The 24,786-nt window shown below is 38.7% G+C and overlaps 1 protein-coding gene, 1 long non-coding RNA gene and 1 pseudogene across 5 annotated transcripts in view, besides 7 other annotated features; 2 read left to right on the plus strand and 1 right to left on the minus strand.

Moving 5' to 3' along the window:
* Positions 1-9,719, minus strand: part of COPB2 (coat protein complex I subunit beta 2) — a 32,275-nt gene extending 22,556 nt beyond the window's left edge. The window contains exons 1-3 of one of the 3 annotated variants that reach the window (NM_001410834.1): positions 9,587-9,686; positions 5,043-5,468; positions 3,337-3,474 (exon numbers count right to left, since the gene is read on the minus strand). In NM_001410834.1, the coding sequence (NP_001397763.1) occupies positions 3,337-3,390 (54 nt within the window). In that variant the 5' untranslated portion in view covers positions 3,391-3,474; positions 5,043-5,468; positions 9,587-9,686. Of the gene's footprint in view, positions 1-3,336; positions 3,475-5,042; positions 5,469-9,507 lie in introns of all 3 variants that reach the window. The other 2 variants (NR_023350.1, NM_004766.3) reach the window with 2 other exon arrangements.
* LOC124906339 (uncharacterized) lies at positions 8,318-8,403 on the plus strand (annotated as a pseudogene).
* Positions 9,364-9,613: an enhancer, noted in NCBI's record as "active region_20612". NCBI's record gives its function as "activates an Ori minimal core promoter by ATAC-STARR-seq in GM12878 lymphoblastoid cells {active_cell/tissue: GM12878}" and the evidence as "EXISTENCE:reporter gene assay evidence [ECO:0000049][PMID:35858748]".
* Positions 9,364-9,971: a biological region, named in NCBI's record as "H3K27ac hESC enhancer GRCh37_chr3:139108213-139108774".
* Positions 9,410-9,971: an enhancer, noted in NCBI's record as "H3K27ac hESC enhancer chr3:139108213-139108774 (GRCh37/hg19 assembly coordinates)". NCBI's record gives its function as "activates a minimal SCP1, AML or CMV promoter by ChIP-STARR-seq in naive H9 embryonic stem cells {active_cell/tissue: H9 hESC(naive)}" and the evidence as "EXISTENCE:reporter gene assay evidence [ECO:0000049][PMID:30033119]".
* Positions 9,842-24,786, plus strand: part of COPB2-DT (COPB2 divergent transcript) — a 193,517-nt gene continuing 178,572 nt past the window's right edge. For both annotated transcript variants that reach the window (NR_121609.1, NR_121608.1), the window contains exon 1: positions 9,842-9,972. This is a non-coding gene — a long non-coding RNA (COPB2 divergent transcript). The remainder of the gene's footprint in view (positions 9,973-24,786) is intronic.
* Positions 9,904-10,203: an enhancer, noted in NCBI's record as "active region_20613". NCBI's record gives its function as "activates an Ori minimal core promoter by ATAC-STARR-seq in GM12878 lymphoblastoid cells {active_cell/tissue: GM12878}" and the evidence as "EXISTENCE:reporter gene assay evidence [ECO:0000049][PMID:35858748]".
* Positions 9,904-10,534: a biological region, named in NCBI's record as "H3K27ac-H3K4me1 hESC enhancer GRCh37_chr3:139108775-139109337".
* Positions 9,972-10,534: an enhancer, noted in NCBI's record as "H3K27ac-H3K4me1 hESC enhancer chr3:139108775-139109337 (GRCh37/hg19 assembly coordinates)". NCBI's record gives its function as "activates a minimal SCP1, AML or CMV promoter by ChIP-STARR-seq in naive H9 embryonic stem cells {active_cell/tissue: H9 hESC(naive)}" and the evidence as "EXISTENCE:reporter gene assay evidence [ECO:0000049][PMID:30033119]".
* Positions 10,414-10,523: an enhancer, noted in NCBI's record as "active region_20614". NCBI's record gives its function as "activates an Ori minimal core promoter by ATAC-STARR-seq in GM12878 lymphoblastoid cells {active_cell/tissue: GM12878}" and the evidence as "EXISTENCE:reporter gene assay evidence [ECO:0000049][PMID:35858748]".

A 24,786-nucleotide genomic window follows, 5' to 3' on the forward strand; every position in this document is an offset into this window, starting at 1 on the left:
ATTTGTTGAATGAATTAGCTCTTAGTTTCTTTTTTTCTTTTCTTTTTTTTTTTTTTTTTTTTTTTGAGACAGTCTTACTCTGTCACCCAGGCTGAAGTGCAGTACAGTGGCACAATCTTGGCTCACTGCGACCTCCGCCTCCCAGGTTCAAGTGATTCTCATGCTTCAGTTACCCAAGTAGCTGGGATTACAGGTGTGCACCACCATGCCAAGCAAATTTTTGTATTTTTCGTACAGACGGGGTTTCACCATGTTGGCCAGGGTAGTCTCGAACTCCTGGCCTCAAGTGATCCACCCGTCTCAGCCTCCCAAGTGCTGGGATTACAGGCGTGAGCCACTGCACCTAGTCAGTCTTTTTGAAATTGAAACCCATAAAAGTGACTCATGAATAAGGTACAATTCTTTTGCATGCTTTAGCAATATGATTCCATACAAATGTTATTATTTCTTTTTAATAAAATATGAAAACACCGTGACTTATATGTTCCTCCGAGCTGCTCAGAATGGAATTATACACATAGGATAAAGGTAGAGACCCTCCTAGAAAGAGCAGAGATCATGGTACCTCTTTGTTCTCCTTCTTTGATGCCTGTTCTTAAAAGTCTGAAAGTCAAACTATCATTTTCTAATCCTTTTTTGTATCAGAGAGCAAAAATGAAATAACTAAGAAACACAATATAATCTTACTGATTGATTAACCATGTGCACTAAAAAAGTAATAGGGACCGGTTCATAAGAACTGTCCTACTCTGACTTTTCAAGCCAGAGTTCAAAGATTCTTTAGACAAAGGCTGAATGAGTAGGCACTTCAACTCTAACCTGTAGAATCACTACCAGCTGACTATGATACAGAAACTGAGAGTAGACACAACATGCGATCTATAACACGGCAGAAAAATCCACAAAAGCTCATGAGGAGCCAACAAATCCAGGGATCTGCTGAGCAGTAAAAATAAAGCAGCTGCAGAAGAAATAGCCAAGGTTCAACGCCATGTTAGGGGCTATGACTGATGCAAATAAAGAGTAAGAAAAGCTACACACACAATACATACAAATACTCAACGTAGATTAGGAAAGTATAACTAATGACTAATACTTATATGGTACTTTATAGGTTTCATACACAATTTTATCTAATTTTATTTTATCTTTTTGACAATCCTGTGATGTAGGCAAGGCAATAATATCATCTTCACTTCAGATAAATAAAGAGGCTCAGCATGGTTAAAAGGCTTGCCTATATAATTTAATCAGCAAGTTGGCTTCAAATCCTAAAATACTATGTTTTTTAAACCACTGCATGTACCACCTCAAAGAATATATAGCATCTCCTTATTTGAAATTCAAGTACATCTAAAAACCTTTTTACTTCCAAAAACCTTTTTGGCTCTCTCAAGAATTTGCTCTCAATATAGGAGTGGTAAATGCTGTTGGTGATATAAACACAGGGAAAAAACAGGGAGAATCAAAGACAGATTAATCATTCAACAAAGACTTACTATCTACCAGGAGCCTGACAGTGTATCAGGTAGTGCCTCATGCACTGGACCAACAGTGGGAAATAAGATGAGGGTAATCCTTGTCCTCACAGAACCTCCATTCTTAGAGGAAAGAAGGAAATTAAACATGAAATTACCACTGAGATGAATTATGAAAGGGGAAGCAGATGGTCCTGTCATAGGGCAGAAAAAGGTATAGAAGAGAAAAAGGAGGCAAAGTGGAAATGCAGATAAAGCAGAGATATATTACAATAAAGCCTAGAGAAAGATAAGAAAAGTACGCCTGGGCTTTAGAACATACGATGATCAAGTGATAGAGCTGAGATAGGTAAATGTAGCTGATAAGAGGGAATCCCTAGGAATAATCAGAGAGAGAGGACACCAACGTATCTGTTAAACATAAAATCAGAAATATTTTAAACATCTCAAGAACTAAACAAAAAGCAAAAAAAAAAAGTTATTTGCATCAAAGCAAAAACAATTCACAAGATAAAGATCTGAAATTGTAGAGAACACAAATACTGAACTAGTGATAAGTGAAATGCATATTATTCATTGGTTGAACAAATAATTATTGAGCATTTACTATGTGCCAGGTAATGTTATAGGTACTGAGATACAGCAGAAAACAAAATGTTAATTTATATAAAATGTCACTGATGGACTATGATATGGTTTGGATTTGTATCCCCACCCAAATCTCATGTCAAATTGGAGGAGGACCCTGGTGGGAGGTGATTGGATCATGGGGGTGGATTTCCCCCTTGCCGTTCTCGTGATAGTGACTTCTCATGAGATCTGATGGTTTAAAAGTGTGTGGCACTTCCCACTTTGCTCTCTCTCTCCTGCCATCATGTGAAGAAGGTGCTTGCTTCCCCTTCACCTGCTGCCAAAATTTTAAGTTTCCTGAGGCCTCCCAGTCATGCTTCCTGTTAAGCCTGTGGAACTGTGAGTCAATTAAACCTCTTTCCTTCATAAATTACCCAGTCTCAGGTAGTTCTTTACAGCAGTGTGAGAACAGACTAATACAGGGTATGAGTTTAGTGTACAGTCATTTCTGTTTCATTACAGTGAGTATAAAAGTATAAAGGTGTTTTTAGGTTTACTTCTGGCTTTGGTTCCTTGATGTCATTTTGCCATTTTAAATTCCTCAAATGCGAATTTTACCTGGATTTCAAGAACTTAACTTTGGACGTTAAGGATAATTACTATATAAGTAGACACAACTGTATAGTATAGTGCTAACTATATGCTTTGTACTCTTAAATACAGTCTAGGAAGACTGGAAAATATGAGACAAACTAATTTGAAGGATATGTTATTTACTCAGGTGAAAGAGAATGAGTCAAGCATTCAGGCAGACAATCTGTAAGATGTGTGTATAATCAAAAGCTGACTATAAATATTTCCCTGATATAATCTATATGGCTGAGTGAAAGATTTATCTGTGTATCATTATATTGGGCATCTGGGAGAAAAATAAATTTAACGATATCATTCTTAAGATAGAGTATTCACTGAATGGAAAACTAACGATTAAATACTTTAGCAAGTGATTCTATAATACCATCAGTTTTCTCAATTTCAAAAAAGAGCTAATACTACCTAAGTCAGAGTTGTTATATTTAAATATTGTATATAACATACCCAGGACAGTTTCTCCTACAAACTATCCCCTCATAAATGTTAGTTCCTTCATATTTAAAATACTTTGTACCAACTTGAGAAAGCAGTTTGCATATAGATTCTGGATTCTGTTATAATATTTCTTCTCTTTCATTATAAACACAGTCTCACATAGTATTTTATTTCTAATACAGTCCTGAAAAATTCCTACCTGTGTTTCATGATTCCAAACACACACACTGCCATTGTAAAGACTTGCCAACATCCATGGCTCTGTAGGATGCAGATCCACACTCTTAACTCGATCAGATCTAGCAGTTAGCTTTCTTTTGATATCAAGTCGCAGAGGCTAAAAAGAAACATTAAAAAAATTAAATTGCTAAGCCAAATAAAATATGTTTGAGATTTTAACTAAATAAGTGCATGAATAGGCCTACAAAACAATTCAGCTACTACTTTGCTAAGCTTTTGAAACAGTTTCAAGTCTAAGCACTTATTTCTTCATTTACACATCAAAAAAATCAGAATATTCAACATTTTAAGATTTACAGCAGTGGTCTTCAAGCTTTTTGCTCTAAGGATTCCTTTATAGTCCTTAAACACTTTGAGGACCCCTAAGAGCTTTTGTTTATGTGAGTTTTAGCTATTGGCATGTTACCATGTTAAAAATTAAACCTGAGACAACTTTAAAATATTTATATATTAATTCATTTTCAAATAACAAAAATAAATCCAGTACATGTTAATTAAAATAACATGTTTTTATGAAAAATAACTATGTTTTCAAAAAATTTAGTGAAAAGAGTGGCAATATTTTACATTTTTGCAGAACTCTTTATAATCTGACTTAACAGAAGACAGATGGTTTCTCATTATCTGCTTCTGCCTTCAATATGTTGTGATATGTTGTTTTGGTTAATGTCTACAAAATAATGCCTGGTCTCACAGATACCTAGTTGGAAAGTGAGGAGTATCTTAATAGTTTTTTCATTACTTGAAATTCTTCGAAATTCGAGAAGTGGTAGTTTCTTAAAGGCTACTTGCAAGGTAAAATCTGAAACCGTATCAATAAGCTGTTTATACTTCGTTACATTAAAATCCATTGGTTAAGTCCATACTTTGAATGGATCTTTCTCTCATGCATGTTTTTCTACCATTAAGCATTGGTCGTTTGGAAAATGCTGGTCCACTGAATTATGCACATCTTCTAGATGCTAACAACATCATGATACTGTATTAAAAAAATTACACATTCACTAATTTCACCACCTACTTCAACTGATAAGCCTTTAAGCATTGGAAATCCATCAAGTTCAGTGAGTTTTTCAAAATTCGAACTTTCACTTGAAAGCTTTAATTTTATCATTGGCAAGAAATACTGTCAGGGACCAGCCAACCTCTTTCAGGTTTTTAAAAAATGTCGACCAAATATTCAAGTCTGAATAAGCAGAGTTTCTCAGTCATTGTTTCAAGTAAAGCTCACAACTTAAAAACGCTACAAGTGTTTCCCCTTGAGACAACTACGATACTTCGGTATGCAGTAGAACTGCTTTATGCATACTCCCCATTTCACCACACAGAATTTAAAAGATGCATACTCAAGTGTGGAGAGGTAATAACATTTTTACTGTTTCATCAATGACATTCTTAAGTGAAAATGACTTTTTAAAAAACTGTCACAATGAAGAATATACTAACAGTACAATTTGGTGTCACTTCACTAGCAGTTTTACCTTCCACTACTTTTACACCATCAGTGCAAATATCAACATTGTGAAAGGTGCCAATAGCGTCTCACTGTTAAGAAAATAATTTTAATTTGTGGACCTCCTGAAAGAGTTTTAGGGACTCTTAAGGAATCGCAGACCACATTTTGAGAACCTCTAGTTCATAGAATTATCTAGTAAATAAATTTACTTTTTTTCTTTTTGAGACGAAGTCTCGCTCTGTCGTCCAGGCTGGAGTGCAGTGGCGAAGTCTCGCTCTGTCGTCCAGGCTGGAGTGCAGTGGCGCTGATCTCTGCTCACTGAAACCTCTGCTTCCCGGGTTCAAGCGATTCTCCTGCCTCAGCCTCCCAAGTAGCTGGGACTACAGGCGCATGCTACCATGCCCAGCTAATTTTTTGTATTTTCAGTAGAGACAGGGTTTCACCGTGTTAGCCAGGATGGTTTCGATCTCCTGACCTTGTGATCCGCCCGCCTCGGCCTCCCAAAGTGCTAGGATTACAGGCGTGAACCCCCGCACCCGGCCAATGAATTTTAAATATTCACAAATCACAATTTTGTGCCCAGGTCAATAGTGTCATATCAGGAAATATTCTGAAGAAGTGTTATTCATGAAGTCCTAGTAACCATAAAGCATAATATTGAGTTCTTTGGAGAAAAATGGTAGATTTATCTTGTCAAAAATACTAGTAAATGCTAGGTAACATAATGTGTGATCAATAAGGGTTATATCCCTATGCATGATGGCCTTTGGTATCAAATGGGAATGTCTGAAATATTTTAATGGATTTAAATTACAGAAACAATGAAAATTGGAAAAATTTAAAACAAAAATAAAAACATTCTCTCAAGTCAGAAAATATGAATAGTTTATACTAGCATTTTCAAGCCAAATTCTTCCTTTGAATTACAGAACAGATAATTATTTGAATAACTATTTTCTCCATTCTCCAAAAAATGCCATTATAGGAGAAAAGTTAATTCAATATATACAATGATCCTTAGGGCAGTGGGCTTAATTCTCTCTAGGAGGCATGCTGAGAAAAGACTGATTTAAAATATATTTCCCCTTCAACAGGTCTTAAACACAACCTAAAAGCTCATTTGGCAAGTTGAGTTACTGTCAAATCTTTATTGCTGTGATCTTCTATGATGATCATGAATGGGACAGAAATTTAAGGTTACTTTTGAATATAAAAAGAAGATCTAGCAGAGACAACTTCCTGAGACAAAACACCTCACAATGCTTTTACTCATCTTTTTTGGGGATTTTTATCAAATTTGGGTCATTGACTACTTCAAGTCTTGTTCTACCCACGCCTCCTTCATTTTCAGCAACAACCTTTACCTCTTACTTTAAAAGATCAGAGTTCTCTGGCTCTTCTCTTCAATCTCCTCAAAAATGTTTTCACTGTCATCAGTCCCTTCCTCTCTCCAATTTTCTACTTTCTTGTTTTTTTTTTTGAGACAGAGTCTTGCTCTGTCGCCCAGACTGGAGGGCAGTGGCGTGATCTCGGCTCACTGCAACCTCCACCTCCCAGGTTCAAGGGATTCTGCCTCAGCCTCCCGAGTAGCTGGGGACTACAGGTGCCTGCCACCATGTCCAGCTAATTTTTGTATTTTTAGAGACAGGGTTTCACCATATTGGCCAGGCTGGTCTCGAACTCCTCTCCTGACCTTGTGATCCACCCACCTCGGTCTCCCAGCTCCAATTTTCCACTTTCAAATCATCATCTTAACATTCCTTGCTAGTTCCCAAAATCAAGGCTTTTTACTTCATTTCTGAATTCTGCCCCATAAATTACTATTACAAATTTTAACTTCTTTTTAAATCTCTATGGAGTCAACAGGTATGAAGAGTCTATTATGTACCAGGCAGGAACCATGGTGAGGGTTTTCATATAAGCCAGCATGTCTCACAATTTTCCTCCAGTAATGAGGAAATTGGACACTTACAAATTGTGAACATTTTACTTTAAAATATTTTAAATTATTGATTATTGAGTAAAAGTGATGCTCCATAAGTTGGGCCAATGAACTCTGAGCAACCCCAGTAAACCTCTACATACTCCCAAAGCACAAATCTCAGTTTAAAAAAGAACAGGCAGCCAGGCGTGGTGACTCATGCCTGTAATCTCAGTACTTTGGGAAGCTGAGGCGGGAGGATCACCTGAAGTCAGGAGTTTGAGACCAGCCTGGCCAACATGGTGAAACCCCGTCTCTACTAAAAATACAAAAAAAAAAAAAAAAATTAGTTGGACGTGGTGGCACGCGCCTGCAGTCCCAGCTACTCGGCAGGCTGAGGCTGCAGAATCACTTGAATCTGGGAGGTGGAGGTTGCAGTGAGCCACGATTGCACCACTGCACTCCAGCCTGGGCGACAGAGTGAGATTCTGTCAAGAAAGAAAGAAAGAAAGAAAGAAGGAAAGAAGGAAGTAAGGAAGGAAAGAAAAGAAAAAGAAAAGAAAGAAAAGAAAGAAAGAACGAACAGGCAAGGGTTCTTGTGATAATATTTCTCCCAACAGTTAAGTGACTATTTTGAATAAGACAATGTACTAGGTACTTTGGGACAAAGATGATTAGGATGCTCACACTGTATCCTCAACTTTAAATATATCCCTCCACCTTCCAAAAGCTGGATGCATTTAGGACTCAGCTTAAATGCCACTGCCACCAGTAAGACCTTTCTAGTTACCCTAGCCTGAAGCATTCTTTCCTAGGGAATCCTATAGGATTTCATTTTAACTGTTCATGGTACACTTGTGTACACATCTTTTCTTGCTTTCTAGAGTAGATCCTCCTTAAAGCCAGGGTCATTGCTTATACATGTCTTTATCTCCAGATCACCTTATATATTTGAGTATGGGGGTTTAAGAACAGATACCATAACACAAGACTAGAAAGCCATGATGGATTTAAATTTCAGTTCCACCACTCATTTCAGATGTGCAATAGTGGGCAAATTTACTTAACCTCTTTCAAGTTTGACTTATGTAAAACAGGAATATTATTATTATCTACCTCTTAGTGCTGTAAGAATTAAATTCAGAGTTAGCCAGTTAGAGCAGTGCCTGACCTACAGTAACCACTTCACAAACATATAACTCTATCTCCCAGCTGCTGTGAGAATTAGGCAGCCATGTTTAGCAAAGTGCATGGCAGACACTAAATATTCTATGGTAAATGTACAAATGAATGAATTCACGTTTTGTATTTTCCACAAAGGATTTAAAATATATAAAGAATGAAGGCAATATTTCATTATAGAAATACACTGGTAAATGTAAAGACGGCAAAAGAAAATGAAATTAGGCAGATCCAAGAGCCTTTTCCAAAAACGTCCATTACTGCAACCACAGCAGACCCAAACTACATCAGGTAGTTAGTAATACGAAGTGCTCTAATTAAGAGGCTTGAGGTCTTGTTCAGGGACTGTAACCTGGGTGCCCAAGAAAGTCCACGGATAGTGCTAGCTTCGGCAGCACATAGAGAGGAGATTAGCGTGGCCCCTGCGCAAGTATGACACGCAAATCCGTGAAGCGTTCCATATTTTTTATAAAACAAATTAAAAAAAAAAAGAAGGTCCATGGATTGTGGGGGGGGGTGTCTGTGAATGAATGCACTGAATTTTATGCAAAAATGTTTGTTTCTCTGTGCATTTTCCCTGGGAGTATTCCTAACTTTTTCCTAGTTCCAACTTTGCCACAATTAACCTTGTAGAAACATAATTTAAAAAAATTTTTTAACTTAAGATGAGGGACTTAATCCCTAGCGTCTTCAAGCTCCAAAATGTTTGATTCTGTGCTTCATAACAAGTTTTTTTTTTTTTTTTTTTGAGACGGAGTCTTGCTCTGTCCCAGGCTGGAGTGCAGTGGTGCGACCTCGGCTCACTGCAGCCTCTGCCTCCCGGGTTCAAGCGATTCTCCTGCCTCAGCCTCCTGAGTAGCTGGGACTACAGGGGCCCGCCACCACGCCCGGCTAATTTCTTTTTTTTTTTTTTGCATTTTCAATAGAGACGGAAGATATTCTTATACTATCGTTTTCTTTCCTTATTATTATAACACTCTTGTGCAAACTAGTCTAGGGCGTTTTTTAGGGTTACGGTGATAATAACAAAGTGCTCTAACAATTACTATTCTTACCAGCCACTGGATTTGCAAATGCATAAAAGCACACCAGCCAGTGTTATAAACAGCACCCCCTTCCTCCCAACCCTTCTTCTCCCCTTAGAAACCTAACAGCTGAGATATCAAAGCATTTGAAATTCCATTTTTGACTCCATATACATTTGTTTTTGGCTTCTTTGCTTGTTTATAGTTTGTAGCCAGCACACACTATCCCCAGAATAAGCCCAACAGGAGTGTAGATTAACTACCACCGTTTTAAAGGCAAACTTTAGTTTTACCAAAGCCTCCTACGGAGTTCAACACATTCGGCTTCTGTGTTTCCCTACACCACCGATCCCGCTGCAGACTGCAGGAGCTCTGGCAAGCGCCACAAGCGCCAGGGGAGACAAAACCCCTCACTAGCAGGCTTTGCCTCCCCAAATCACCCCGGTCCCCTAGGCCCCACCGCCTTCTCCCTTCCTGGAATCAAACGACCAAGACCCCGCAAGGCCTGAGGCGGCGGCCGCAGCGGGAGCCCAGACCACTGCTTACCGCGGCCCTCAGTCCAGAAGCTCCAGGAATCGGCCGTAACCTATGGGACCCCGCTCCCTTCTACGGGATCTGGACCTACCATGGCTGCGTCGGTCCAATCCCGGGAACCCTCGTTTGTTACCGGCTACTCAGGCCTTGAGATAAACCCACCGATCCACTGACCGTCAGACTGACTGACGTGGAACTTCCGGGAGCCGATTCTCGCGATAGTCAGAGGCCAGGGCCGGAGCGCCTGCGCAAACTGCGCGCAGGGCCGTCGTTTCCCAAGCCCCGCCCCAGTTTCCTAGGCAACGTGGCCTTCCAGACCGCTGGTAGTGGACTTGAGGCTGTCGGGAAGGAGGGGTGTGGCCTAGACCACTAAGGGCCGTGACGTGGTGCCGCTGAGCTTGGACCCCGACCAGAAGATAGAGATTGAAACGATGAGGAAAACGAAGTGCCTAATCCCCGCTGGACGCTAACTGCAGGGCAAGCTCCCCAGTGTTGTAGTTGTGTTTCGGAGGCCGAGAACCGCTATCGGGCTTCCTCGGACTCTGGCCCTGGAGGGGGGAAACGGCGAGGGAGAAGGCGAAACGAGTCTCCAGTGTGTTCTTGGGGCCTGGTGCGAGGCCCAGAGAATTCTCTGCAGGCCTTTGCCCGGGCACTGATTAAGGCTGCGAAGAGACGCACCGGGCTGCGGGCTTAGTAGCTTCAGGCTTCTGAAGTCAGAGGGAGGGCTGAGAGCTTACACTTCTGGAGCTCCCCGGGAGACGGCAACTACCCAACCGTGTGGGTGTGTTTGTGTATGTGTCTTTTGTTGAGCTTCGGCTGGCTGTGTTATTCATTCAACAAATATTTATCGATCTTCGGCAGTGTGTCAGACATACCTTCTTCTCAAATCTTCACATCAAACCTGAATTATCTCCATTTAATGATGAGGAAACTCGGGCTCAAAGAAGTTAAGTGTTCTAGCCAAGACTGCATAGTAAGTGGCAGATAAAACCTCAAAGTTGGGCCGGGCGCGGTGGCTCACGCCTGTAATCCCAGCACTTTGGGAGGCCGAAACGGGTGGATCACCTGAGGTCAGGAGTTCGAGACCAGCCTGGCCAACATGGTGAAACCCCGTCTCTATTAAAAATACAAAATTAGCCTGGCGTGGTGGCGGGCGCCTGTAATCCAAGCTGTTCCAGAGGCTGACAGGAGAATCGCTTAGAACCCAGGAGGTGGAGGTTGCAGTGAGCTGAGATCGCGCCACTGCACTCCAGCCTGGGCAACAGAGCAAGACTCTGTCTCAAAACAAAACACCTCAAAGTTTGTGCTCTTTCTACTACATAAAAATATCTCTTCATTAATGTGGCTGAATTCTAAGGGCCTGTGCCATAGGGGTTACACTACACAATAAAGTTCGAGAACATTTGCCTGTCACACGCACTGCACATCTCCTGTATTTCCTTTTTTTTTTTTTTTTTAAGAAAACATGTGGACCATAGAAAACTTGCCCTCTGGTTACACGTACAAACGTGTATTTTTAACTTGAGAGAAATCTTAAAGTCTTTTCAGACCTCCAGATTTTCAGAAAGGCAAAAAGAAAAATTATGTATTTGTGTGTGTAGATAATGATAATCAGAGGGAGATGATTTTGCACGAAATTATTTGGCTTTAGTAGGAGCCTTGAGCTAATGTGACTCTCTTCATGGGCCTCAGTTTTCATCATCTTAAAAAAAATCCAGCTACATGGTTTCTAAAGATCCTTCCATTTTTTTTTTTTTTATGTTTCTGTGGCATTCAATAGTGGAAAAAAGAGTCTGGAACTGGAGTTTAGTGCCAGCAGTGTGATCTTATGTAAATTGAGACTAATAATTCTAGTAATTGCATACTTTGCTTACTCTATGGAGTGACTGAGGATCCTGAGTTGAAAAAATTATATGAACTATACCTAATTTGCTTGAATAGTGGAACTTTCAATATTTCTAACTCCTGAATACTCTTGCACTTGAGAGAGTATTTTTGGATTTGGCACAGTACTAAGTGATACAAAATAAAATGATGTATCTCTATTGTCAAGGGGCTCAGCTGGGAATGCTTAAATCTTTGTATACCACTGGGCCACCTAAGGGTCTACCTAGCTGGTGTTGCGGGCCTGAACCCTCAAGTGTCATTCTTACTTGGACTATATCTTTTCTCATGTTTTCCACTGCAATTAGCCAAAATTAAGTCCTGCAATTGTAGACTGTAAATTCACTCTTTTAACCATTACATACTGAATGTGTACTATATACAAAGCACTATACTAGGTGCTGCCTTAAGATATTACCCATAGAATTTGGTGTTGGATTTTGGTTGAAATAAATTTTAAAGAAATAAAATTCTTAAATAGGAACTAATACATAACATTAAATATACACGTGTATTTCACTAGGCGTTCGACTGTGGGTTTAAATTAAAATCTTTTGTTTACTTGGTTTAGAGGAGACTGGAAGGTTAGGAAAAATAACCGTTGGGAAGAAAAGAAATATAGACAAGCTTAGCAGATTGGTAAAGGGTTTCCCAAGAGGTTGACTGCAATCGATTAACAGATCTTAAAGTCTTACCTAGTCAATTTCTATAATAGCTATTTCAGCCCTGCCTTTTTGCAGCAGCTGGGAGAATTCCAAGTGGGAATTCAGGTTGCAGTGCCTCTGTAAGTACCCTATATACACTGTTCCCTTCCCACCCTATTCCTACCTCTTCATAAGAAGTTGAGGAAAATAATTCGTTGAGAAAGAGTCAGGGTTTTTTGTTTATTATTTTATTTTATTTGTATTTATTTATTTATCTTGAGATGGTGTCTCACATTGTCACCCAGGCTGGAGTGCAGTGGCGCCATCTCAGCTCACTGCAACCTCCACCTCCCGGGTTCAAGCGATTCCCCTGCCTCAGTCTCCCCAGTAGCTGGGACTACGGGTGCACGCCACCACGCCTGGCTGATTTTTGTAGTTTTAGAAGAGATGGGATTTCACCATGTTGGCCAGGCTGATCTTGAACTCCTGACCCCAGGTGATCTGCCTGCGTTGCCTCCCAAAGTGCTGGGATTACAGGCTTGAGCCACCACACCCAGCCTTGTTTATTATTTTTAAATATACATGTGTTATCACTTAGCTAAGTGGTAAGTACTAGCACGAATAGGAACCTAGTTTCTCCCTTCAAAGGGGTTACAATTTATAAGCAGGAAAGGTTATTTATGCACAAATAATTGAATACCAGGCAGAATATGAGTACCTTCTGAGAGAAGTACCAGTAAAATACTCTGAAGATAAAATATCCAGCTAGGGAGATAAGTTTCATAAAGGAGGTAGAATCTGAGGTGGACTTTGAGGTGAAGAGTATACGGCATGTTTGAGAACCAAAAAAGGTCCAATTTGTTTGGAGAATGGTATTCATTTAGAAGAGCAGTGAGGGAGAAGGTTGAAGAGGAAGCTTGGGGCTAGAACCTGAAGATTTTTAAATCGGGAGAAATTGAGCTTTGAGTCAAGCAGTTGGGACTTACTGGGCCAGATAGGAAACCTGTTTATATCTGTACTCTAGATGATTTGTCTTTTGTTGATGTGTATGACACACTAAAAGAAGTTGAAACAGACTATATAAGTTTGGTGGAAGTGAGTGTGGAAATAACAGTAATAAGGAAAAATTTTTATTAAATGCCCACTATGTACCTACCTGCCATTGGAATATGTACTTTGCATACTGCAATTCATAAAGTAATACTAAAAGATAGGCATTATTTTCTCCAATTTATAGATGAAAAACAGAGGCTTAAATTGATTAAGTAGTATACCTCATGCCACATTGCTCATGACTGACAGACCTGAGATATGAACCTAAGTTATATTTAATGATACTAACATCTTTTTTTACTGGATTGTAATTTCTCCTTTTTTCCCTGAGAAGCTAGAATCAACTGGATACACAAATGCGTTTGTTGAATTGAGGGAGTGGGAGGCATCCTATTGCTGATGTTTTTAATCTAATGAACCCAGAAGAATATCTTTAATCAGAGGAAGATGTGGAGCCAGTGAATGATAGTGGAGCCAATGAAGGAACAATCAGAGAAAGAGAATCAGGAAAGAAGAAAAAGTGAAAGAAAAAGAAGTGGAGTCAGTGTAGGAACAATCAGAATAAGAGACCCAGAATAACTTTATGTCACAGAAGGAAAAGAAAGGGAAAATGTGACTGGGTGACTAGCATCTTGATAGCTTTAGAGAATTTAAGGAGGCTTAGTATTTGCCAAAACTATTGCCAATGAAATAAATGATTATGAGGACACTATCAGCCTTCAAAAAAGTTGAGTAATGGTAGGGAAGGCAAGTTTACAAAGGGTTTAGAAATTATTGGATGATAAAAAAAGTAGAGGTCATCAGTATAAACTATTTTACCAAGCGATTAGTGAAGAAAGGCAAATGTTGATGTGAGAGGTGTCTCACTGTAAGTGGGTTGACTGTTCCTGCATTTAGGGCATGCTTGATTTAATTATGATAGGCTCCAAATGGATGCAGGCCACTAAATGGACCTTTGTAGTGTGAGTAGGAACTAGCCAGGTAAATGTCAAGAGAGTATATCTAGAGCATTTGACTTTTCCAGAGAGCTAAGAATAGTTCAGCATGCCTGGGCCAGAGAGTAAGAAGGGGGAGGATTGAGAAATGGTATTAGAAAGATAAATGAGATTCAGATTCTGAAGATCCATGATAGCCAGTTAAAGGAGTCTGGACTTTATCCTGTAGGCTCTGGGGAACCATTTAAGAATGTTAAGTAGGGTAATCTTCATGCTCCATTACTGATACATCATCACATGTCAGTTACTTTTCCTGTTAGAGGAAATGTTAAGATTATCAGCCTGATTTCTGTATGAGGTGAATGAAAGCAAAAGTTTTGACCACATAGTCAAGTAGCAGCCAGCAGCAGACTAAATTGAGTTGGAGATCCACTGAACTGTCTTCCAAGAAAAATGGAGTTTGTGGTTGCCCAACACTTAGAGGCAAATGTTGGACTGATTGCAAAAGCATTGACCAACCACAATGTGCTGTACACTTCATGTGACTACCTTCTAAACATTTTAAATTTGTTAAATTTACTCCATGGGAGTTTGATGTAGAATTCCAGATGCAGAGGATGCTAACTTTTGTTTACCTGAAAGTGTAAAAATCCAGATTATTAGTAATGTGTTTGACTTGTGTTAATTTTACCTTAAAAATTACATTAACCTTATGTTTTTCTAATGAGTATTTTTAGAGGAGTCAAAGTTTAAAGTGAGCTTTGAATGAAACAAAGGAGGTGATTTCATAGATGGGAATTGCTAGACATTGTAAATATGGCAGTAGACTGGGGAGTTTGTTAGTGATCTCCACAGTTCTCCATCTGCGGATTCGTTCTCTACCCCACTCTTCACTCATGGGGTACAGACCCCATGGTAAGTCATGACCAGTGGGCTCTGGGTACTTCTTTGCCCCAGGGTTGTCAAGTGAAGTGAATCTCTGGGTCTTAGTTTTATTACCTACAAAATAATAATGGACAGCATTAGCTCCAAAGTCTCTTCCTGTTGTAAGCTTTTTTATACTTTTGAGTCTGTGATTCTATGTTCTTGTCAAACGAAGTGGATGAGGGGAGTGCCTGCAGGGTGTTTTAATGGGCATTTGTCTTTACTTAATTCAAGTGCCAGTGTAGTAGCGTTTCCCACATCTTTCATAGCATGCATTGTTCTTTTTCTCTGGAAGCCACCTTCCATCAGCAAATTTTTGTTGAGATTTTGTTGTGCTTGGAACAATGCTCTACAAACCTGAGGCTCCTGGGGCTCAGGACAAGGAGGCTGGTAGGCATGAGGGGACAAGGAATACAGGCCAAGTGTGCCTGGTATGTAGAGGTCCCAGGTGAACATTCTCTCAACCAATGTTTAACTTTCTTTCTAGGAAAAAGATTTCACAAAGTTTTATATAAGCAAGTAGATAGGTTTAGAGTAATTATGTTTCATTAAGAATTATGTCCTTGGAAATGACAGTGCTGCATATAAATAAATGAATAATAATGATGAATAGCCTGAATATCTGGCATATAGCAGTTACCTTTAAATTAATTGAAAAAAAATTTAATGTAAAAGTGAAATATCTGGAGTGACAAGGCACTGCACAGTGTGATTTTCATCAAATTGCTTTATTCCTCTTTCTTCTGAAGCATTTGTCAGTTCAAGTTGATCTAAGGGCATTACTGAATTTGAATTCAAATGTACTCCAAGTCCCAAGGTTTAAAAATGAATTCCTGGGGTTCTGAACTCATGATATGCTTTTGTATCTGAAGATGATCATCCAAAACATATTGAGTAGCACTACGACAGGATTTTTCATTTGATGTCAAAGCAACTTCACATTGATAGTGTTTGATATAGTCACTAAAATCCAAATAAAGCTATTGTCTCTAGGAAGAAGAAATTGTTTCTTTAGCTAAATATGGCCATACTTTGGTGCATCTGACACTGACAATGAATATAGATATAACTTTATCCTAAAAGGGTTTATATATAAAGTGTAACATTCACTTTATATACATACATATAGATAGACGAATAGACATAAATAAAGTCAATATCTGAAAGAAGTAGAAGATTATAAGTGATTTTATTTGTATTTTCTATTTTTCTATTATATAGTGTGTAATAAAAAAACAAAGTTATTTATTTTTTGAGATGAAGTCTCGCTCTATCACTCAGGCTGGAGTGCAGTGGCGCGATCTTGGCTCACTACAACCTCTGCCTCCCAGGTTCAAGCAATTCTCCTCCCTCAGCCTCCCGAGTAGCTGGTTCTGCAGGCGTGTGCCTCCATGCCTGGCTTGTTTTTTTTTTTTTTTTTTGTATTTTTAGTAGAGACGGGGATTCACCATATTGGCCAGGCTGCTCTCGAACTCCTGACCTTGTGATCCGCCCACCTCAGCCTCCCAAAGTGCTGAGATTAAAGGCGTGAGCCACCATGTCCAGCCAGAAACAAAGTTATTTTAAGCAAACAAAATGTACCAAAGGAGCTTGCCATTTTGAAGAAAGCTTATTTTAAATCTGCCCACAGCAAAGAAATACCTCTTATTTTCTGCGTAAATCTAGATTCTCATTTTATAAAGCCCACTAGGGTGAAACGAAATGATACAGGCATATTCAGGAATGAACAGTCCACCAAAAGAGAATATGCAATTTCTGTCTCAGTGTTTCAAGGGAACTCAGAACTAGGTTCTGAGAAAAAAATGGATTTTATGGTAAGGGGTATTCCTGGTAGAACTAGACAAGAAAGCAGCATTATTGAAAGGTTTAAAGTTGAAAGGGGAATCATAAGGCAAATGATCCGGGAGCAGAAGGTTGAGAGCTGTTAAGGTTCCTGGTGGAAGGGCTGTAAGCAGGGCTCTTATTCAGTTAGTATGTACTAGTGTTGCCAATGCATGTATTAAAATATGGAAATACTTGTTGCTAAATAGCCTCTGCCTTGAATATCTGCATTATCCTAGCGGATCAGGTTCCTCCTCTGGGGCTTTTCCACAATCCAGCTACTAAAGTGTTTAACAATTTATACCACAGGGGGCCCCCAGGATCTTGATCCTATGCAGCAGCCAGGATCTGGACTTACATTAGGTGTCTTTTCTGATTGATACGTACTGGTACTTAGCATTATTAAATATTTTGAATGTCAACCCTGCCGGTAAGGGATAAGGAACTGGTCCTTGATGTACCAAGTGATGAGGAGTCAAGGAAAGGAGAAAGCAGGTATTTTCCACCAACAAGCTATATTCGCAGCAGGGAAGATTTTAAGGTAGGGCTGGATGGTCTCTGTCAGCCACCTCCCACCTCTCAGGTACCCTCTCATCCCTTTTCACCAACTCTGTGTGCCATAGCAGGGCCTTGTTCTACAACTTTCTCAAACATGGGTCTGATTAACTTATGACCTTATCCATTACTCTTAAAATGCAAGCAACGTGGATTTTTCAAGCCTCTCCCAGAGTGTCCAGAACTTTATAGGGGATCACAGACTAAGAACAGGGACCAAATTTGTTCTTGAGTGGCACTCTTTGTTGTTATTGTAAATTCTAGGTTAGCACTAATTTTCTTTGACCATATTAAACCTGTATCGGTCTACCCTTTACTGACACGCTGTTAAGCAGCCTATTGTTAGTTGCTCCTTTGAAGAGAATTTTCTCTGACTGTTTTAAGATTTTCTCTTTATCTTAGGTTTCTGCACTTTCATAACCAGTTGTCTAAGCATGAGTTTCATTCTTTTCTGCATGGAATTGACCGAGTCTTAAATCTGTGAATTGGTGTCTTATCAGTTACAAAAAATTCTCAAGCTCTACCCTACGCTCTTATCCACTGCTTCCTGGCATGCCAATGTTAGAACTTTGTACTATATTCTCCTATGTTCTCCACATCTTGTATATGTGGTTATTTTTTTCCTCTCAGTACTGCATTCTATGCATGGTCTTCTGACCCCACCTCCTCAATCGGCCCTCCAGTTCATTATTTCTCTCTTATACAGGTATTGGCAATATGTTGCAAATATAATTGTTGAGTTTTTATTTCAGTTACTATGTTTTTGTTTTTAGTTTCATTTCTTTTCAGACATGATATGTGACTTTTTATAGTCTACTATAGTTAATTTCAAGGTTGCCATTCATTTCTATAAACATCGTAACCATAATTGTTTTTTAATCTAGGTCTAATAGCTGAAGCCTGTGTGGGTCTATTCCTTCTCTCTGTTGTTTTGCTCGTTCTTATTCCCTTGGTTATTTGTTATCTTTGACTAGATAACTGGCAATTGTCCTCAAATTATTTAGGAGGATACTCTGAAACCTAGTCTGGGTGTGTCCTCCTCTAGAGAGGCTTTATTTTGTTTTTGTCAGGCACCTGGGGACAACAGTTGAGATCTCCTCACAGCACATGCTTGGCTTAAAGTCTGGCTCATGCAGGCTAAGTGTACCCATGGTACAAAGCCATAAGAATTTGGTCTATGGCCACAGCTTCTCAAGGACATTTTGTTCCTTTTTTTTCTTCTTCTTTGCTTAGTACCAAGGCAGTTTTCCTGCAGTCCTTTCAGGTTGAGGGGTAAGAGAGGCAAATTTAGGTCTGGTTTATCCTTAATTTGCATGTGTATTAATTTGGGAAGAATACCCAGTAAGACTCTCCAGTTTCTGTGGGCCGCACTTGACTAGTATCCATTTGGCCCATAGTGACTACAGCAGTATTGACAGATACTTCTAAGGATTTTGATCATTCAGTAGTCTTCTTACTATTTTGGTAGCAGGATTTTATCCAAATGTTGACCTGGAAGTTCTTAATTGTGTTTTCAAATATTTGATTATTTTAAGGTAGTGGTGTTTGTTTAAATATATGTTATCAGTATTTTTGTTGTTGTTTTCAGCAAGAGTGTTGACCTGAATAACCTAGCCTGCTATTGCCAGAAACCAGAAGCCTCTGAGGGAGTTTATAATTGAGTCTTAATAAAAGCATTTTAAAGATGAAAGACAATAATAGCGGTAAGTTATTCTGATTTAGAGTAGATGAAAGAGGTCAAGGCTTAATTGGCAAGGAACTGCATAATGGAATAGTAGCTACATTTTAAAAGGAAGTGAGACAGAGGCCTTCCCAGTGCCCTGAAAATGGAACTCATCTTTGGGTGATGTGGCTGTATAAAATTCTGACATATTTGGCAAGAACTTTTCTCATGTTTCTTCATATTCTTATTTTCTTGCAGCATCTCGTGGCCTTGGCTCTCTAACAGCTTCTGTTCAATCACCTGTCTCAAGTTCTGCCTCCATTCTCTCTGTCACTGCTCCTTCTCTCACCTGGATAAGAATATGAGTGAATGGTTCATAGCAGTCACTGGTATTCCCTGGTTACAGCAGAATCTTCTCCCAAGGGGAGAAGTGTACATATGCACATTTTTTTTCATACAATTTCTGGGGATACTTGCTGCCTTAGGAGATTGAGGAAAATTTCATGGAGAAGGAGACACTTAAGAATAGGCCAGAATCAAATGAGATACCTCATTTGAGAGAAATTAGACATCCCTTGAGAGAAGACATATACATGGCTAACAGGTATATGAAAAAATGCAAAGATACAGAGAATATTTGAAAATGCAAAAAAAAAAAAAAAAAAGACAACAAATGCAAAAATACAGAGAACGAGAAACTCTTATATATTGTTGGTGGGAATGTACATTATGAAAAACAGTATGGAGGTTGCCAAAAAAAAAAAAAACCTAAAAATAGAGCTACCACATGATCCAGCAATCCCACTACTGGGTATATATTCAAAGGAAAGGAGATCAGTGTGTTAAGGAGACATCTGCACTCCATGTTTATTGCAGCATTATTTATAATGGCCAAGATGTGGAATCAACCAAACTGTCCATCAACAGATGAATAGATGAAGAAAAAGTGGTATATATACACAATGAAATACTAATCAGCCATAAAAAAGAAGAAAATTCTATAATTCGTGGCAACATGGGTGAATTTGGAGGACATTATGTAAAGTGAAATAAGCCAGGCAGAGAAAGACAAATAATACATGTTCTCACCCGTATGTAGAAGCTAAAAATGTTTATCTTAAAAATGTAGAGAGGAGAATGGTAGTTACTAGAGACGAGGAAAGATGAGGTAGTGGGAGATAGCCAGAGGTTGGTTAATGGATACAAAATTACAGCTAGATCAGAGGAATAAATTATAGTGTTCCATAGCACTGTAAAGTGATCATAATTAACAACATTTACTGTATATTTTCAAATAGCTAGAAGAGCAGATTTTGAATGCTCCCAACACAAAGAAATGATAAATGTTTGAGATGATGGATATGCTAATTACTGTGATTTGATAATTACACATTGTATACATGTATTGAAATATCACACTGTACCTCATAAATATGTACACTTATTAAATATTAATTAAAAAAATAAAAGTAGAAAAATGGGCCAGATTTCAGAAGGCAGAGATAATAATAGCAGTTGGCCATATTTCACAGAGTTTGATGCTTTTCATTCAGCAACCCTGAAAATATTCCCACTTTATTACTTTTTCTTTTTAATTTTTGTGGGTACATTGTAGGTGTATATATTTATGAGATACATGAGATGTTTTGATATAGGCATACAATATATAATAATCACATCATGGGCCAGGCGTGGTGGTTCAAGCCTGTAATCCCAGCACTTTGGGAGGCTGACGTGGGCGGATCACCAGGTCAGGAGATTGAGACCAGTCTGGCCAATAGGGTGAAACCCTGTATCTACTAAAAATACAAAACAAAAACAAACAAACAAAAAAAGACAGCCAGGCATAGTGGCACACGCCTGTAGTCCCAGCTACTTGGGAGGCTGAGGCAGGAGAATCGCTTGAACCTGGGAGGCAGAGGTTGCAGTGAGCCGAGATCACGCTACTGCACTCCAGCCTGGGTGACAGAGCAAGGCTCCATCTCAAAAAAAAAAAAAAATCACATAATGAAGAATGGAGTGTTCATCCCCTCAAGCATTTATCCTTGTGTTACAAACAGTCCGATTATACTCTTTAGTTATTTTCAAATGTACAATTAAAATTTTTAAACTTTTAGGTTCAGAGGCATATGTGAAGGGTTGTTATATAGGTAAACTTATGTCATGGGGGTTTGTTGTATAGATTATTTCATCATGCAGATATTAATCTTAGTTCCCAGGGGTTATCTTTTCTGCTCCTCTCCCTCCTCCCACCCTCCATCCTCACGTAGACCTCAGTGTCTTTTGTTCCCTTTTTTGCATTCATGGGTTCTCATCATTTAGCTCTCACTTATAAGTGAGAACATGTGGCATTTGGTTTTCTGTTCCTACATGAGTTTGCTAAGGATAATAGCCTCCAGCTACATCCATGTTCCCACAAAAGACACAATTTCATTCTTTTTTATGGCTGCATAGTATTCCATGGTGTATATATACCACATTTTCTTTATCCAATCTGTCATTGATGGGCATTTAGGTTGTTTCCATGTCTTTGCTATTGTTAATAGTGCTGCAATAAACATTCACGTGCATGTGTCTTTATGGTAGAATGATTTATATTCCTCTGGGTATATACCCAGTAATGGGATTGCTGGGTTGAATGGTTGTTCTGTTTTTAGCTCTTTGAGGAACCACCATATGGCTTTCCACAATGATTGAACTAACTTACACTCCCACAAACAGTTTATGAGTATTCCCTTTATTCCACAACTTCTCCATCATCTGTTATTTTTTGACTTTTTAATAATGGCCATTCTGACTGGTGTGAGATGGTACCTCACTGTGGTTTTGATTTGCATTTCTCTAATGATCAGTGATGTTGAGCTTTTATTCATATGATTTTTGGCCGCATGAATGTGTTCTTTTGAGAAGTGTCTGTTTGTGTCCTTTGCCCACTTTTTCATGGTTTTTTTTCTTGTAAATTTGTTTAAGTTCCTTGTAGATTCTGGATATTTGACCTTTGTCAGATGGATAGATAGCAAAAATTTTCTCCCACTCTGTAGGTTGCCTGTTTGCTCTGTAGCAGTACCATGCTGTTTTGGTTACTGTAGCCCTGTAGTGTACTTTGAAGTCAAGTAATGTGATGCCTCCAGGTTTGTTCTTTTTGCTTAGGATTGCCTTGGCTATTGGGCTCTTATTTTGTTCCATATAAATTTTAAAATAGTTTTTTCTAGTCCTGTGAGGAATGTTGTTGGTAGTTTGATAGGATTAACATTGAATCTCTAAATAGCTTTGGGTACTATGGCCGTTTTAATGATATTCATTCTTTCTATCCATGAGCATGGGATGATTTTCCCCATTTGTTTGTGTCTTCTCTGATTTCTTTGAGCAGTGTTTTGTAATTTTTATTGTAGAGATCTTTTACCTCCCTGGTTAGCTATATTCCTAGGTATTTTTTCTTTTTGTAGCAATTGTGAATGGGATTGCCTTCCTGATTTGGCTCTTGGCTTGGCTGTTGTTGGTGTATAGGCATACTAGTTATTTTTGTTTTTTTTATTTTTAATTTTTTTCTATTTCAAAAGTTTTTGGGGAACAGGTGGTTTTTTATTACATGGATAAGTTCTTTAATGGTAATTTCTGAGATTTTTGGTGCACCTGTCACATGAACAGTGTACACTGTACCCAATGTGTAGTCTTTTATCCCGTACTCCCCTCCCCACCTTCCCCCCAAGTCCCCAAAGTCCATCATATTATTATTATTATTTTGCATCCTCATAGCTTAGCTCCCACTTATAAGTGAGAACATGTGATGTTTGGTTTTCCATTCCTGAGTTACTTCACTTAGAATAATGGTATCCAGCTGCATCCAGGTTGCTGCAAATGCCATTATTTTATTCCTTTTATGGCTGAGTAGTATTCCATTGTGCATATACACCACATTTTCTTTATCTACTTGTTGGTCGACGGACATTAAGACTGGTTCCATATTTTTGCCATTGTGAATTGTGCTACTATAAACACATGTGTGCAAGTGTCTTTTTCATATAATGACTTCTTTTCCTCTGAGTAGATACCCAGGAGTAGTGGGATTGCTGGATCAAATGGTAGTTCTACTATTAATTCTTTAAGGAATCTACATACTGATTTTCATAGTGGTTGTACTAGTCTACATTCCCACCAGCAATGTAAAAGTGTTCCCTTTTCAACACATCCACAGCAACATCTATTATTTTTTGATTTTTAATTATGACCATTCTTGCAGCAGTAACGTGGTATCTCATTGTGGTTTTAATTTGCATTTCTGTGATAATTAGTGATATTGAGCATTTTTTCATATGTTTGTTGGCCATTTGTATATCTTCTTTTGAGAATTGTCTATTCATGTCCTTTGCCACTTTTTGATGGAATTATTTGCTTTTTGTCTTGCTGATTTATTTGCATTCCTTGTAGATTCTGGATATTACTTCTTTGTCGGATACATATTTTGCAAATATTTTCTCCCATCTGTTGGTTGTCTGTTTACTCTGATGATTATTATTTTGCTGCACAGAAGCTTTTTAGTTTAATTATGTCCCATCTATTTATTTTTGTTTTTGTTGCACTTGCTTTTGGATTCTGGGTCATGAGCTCTTTGCCTAAGCCAACATCTATAAGAATTTTACCAATGTTATCTTCTGGAATTTTTATGGTTTCTGGTCTTAGATTTAAGTCTTTGATCCATCTTGAGTTGATTTTAATATAAGGTGAGAGATGCAGATCCCATTTCATTCTTCTACATGTGGCTTGCCAATTATCCCAGCACCACTTGTTGAATAGGGTGTCCTTTTCTCACTTTATGTTTTTGTTTGCTTTGTCAAAGATCAGTTGGCTGTAAGTATTTGGCTTTATTTCTGGGTTCTCTTTTCTCTTTCATTAGTCTACATGCCTATTTTTATAGCAGTTCCGTGCTGTTTTGGTAATGATAGCCTAGTAGTATAGTTTGAAGTTGGGTAATGTGATGCCTTCAGATTTGTTCCTTTTGCTTATTCTTGCTTTGGCTATGTGGGCTCTTTTTTTGGTTCCATATGAATTTTAGGATATGCTTCACACAACTAATATTGCTTTTATTAATTGTGTGAAGAATGATGTTGGTACTTTGATGGGAATTGCATTGAACCTGTAGATTGCTTTTGGCAGCATGGTCATTTTCACAATATTGATTCTACCCATCCATGAGCATGGGATGTGTTTACATTTGTTTGTGTCATTGATAATTTATTTCAGCAGTGTTTTGGAATCTTCCTTGTAGAGATATTTTACCTCCTTGGTTAGATATATTCATAAGTATTTTATTTTATTTTTTGCAGCTTTTGCAAAAAGTGTAGAGATCCTGATTTGTTTCTCAGCTTGGTCATTGTTGGTGTATAGCAGTGCTACTGATTTGTGTACATTGATTTTGTATCCTGAAACTACTGAATTCATTTATCAGACCTAGGAGCTTTTTGGATGAGTCTTTAGGGTTTTCCAGCTATACAATCATATCATCAGCAAAAAGCGACAGTTTGACTTCGTCTTTACCAATTTGGATGCCCTGTATTTCTTCCTCTTGTCTGATTGCTCTAGCTAGGACTTCCAGTACTATATTGAATAGAAGTGGTGAAAGTCGGGGGTGTTCCAAGATGGCCGAATAGGAACAGCTCTGATCATGCAGCTCCCAGCATGATCAACACAGAAGATGGGTGATTTCTGCATTTCCAACTGAGGTACCTCGTTCATCTCACTGGGACTGGTTGGACAGTGGGTGTAGCCCATGGAGGGTGAGCTGAAGCAGGGCAGGGTATCACCTCACCTGGGA

Source organism: Homo sapiens, chromosome 3 (genome assembly GCF_000001405.40).
Source record: "Homo sapiens chromosome 3, GRCh38.p14 Primary Assembly".
In the NCBI taxonomy this organism is placed as follows: Eukaryota; Metazoa; Chordata; class Mammalia; order Primates; family Hominidae; genus Homo; species Homo sapiens.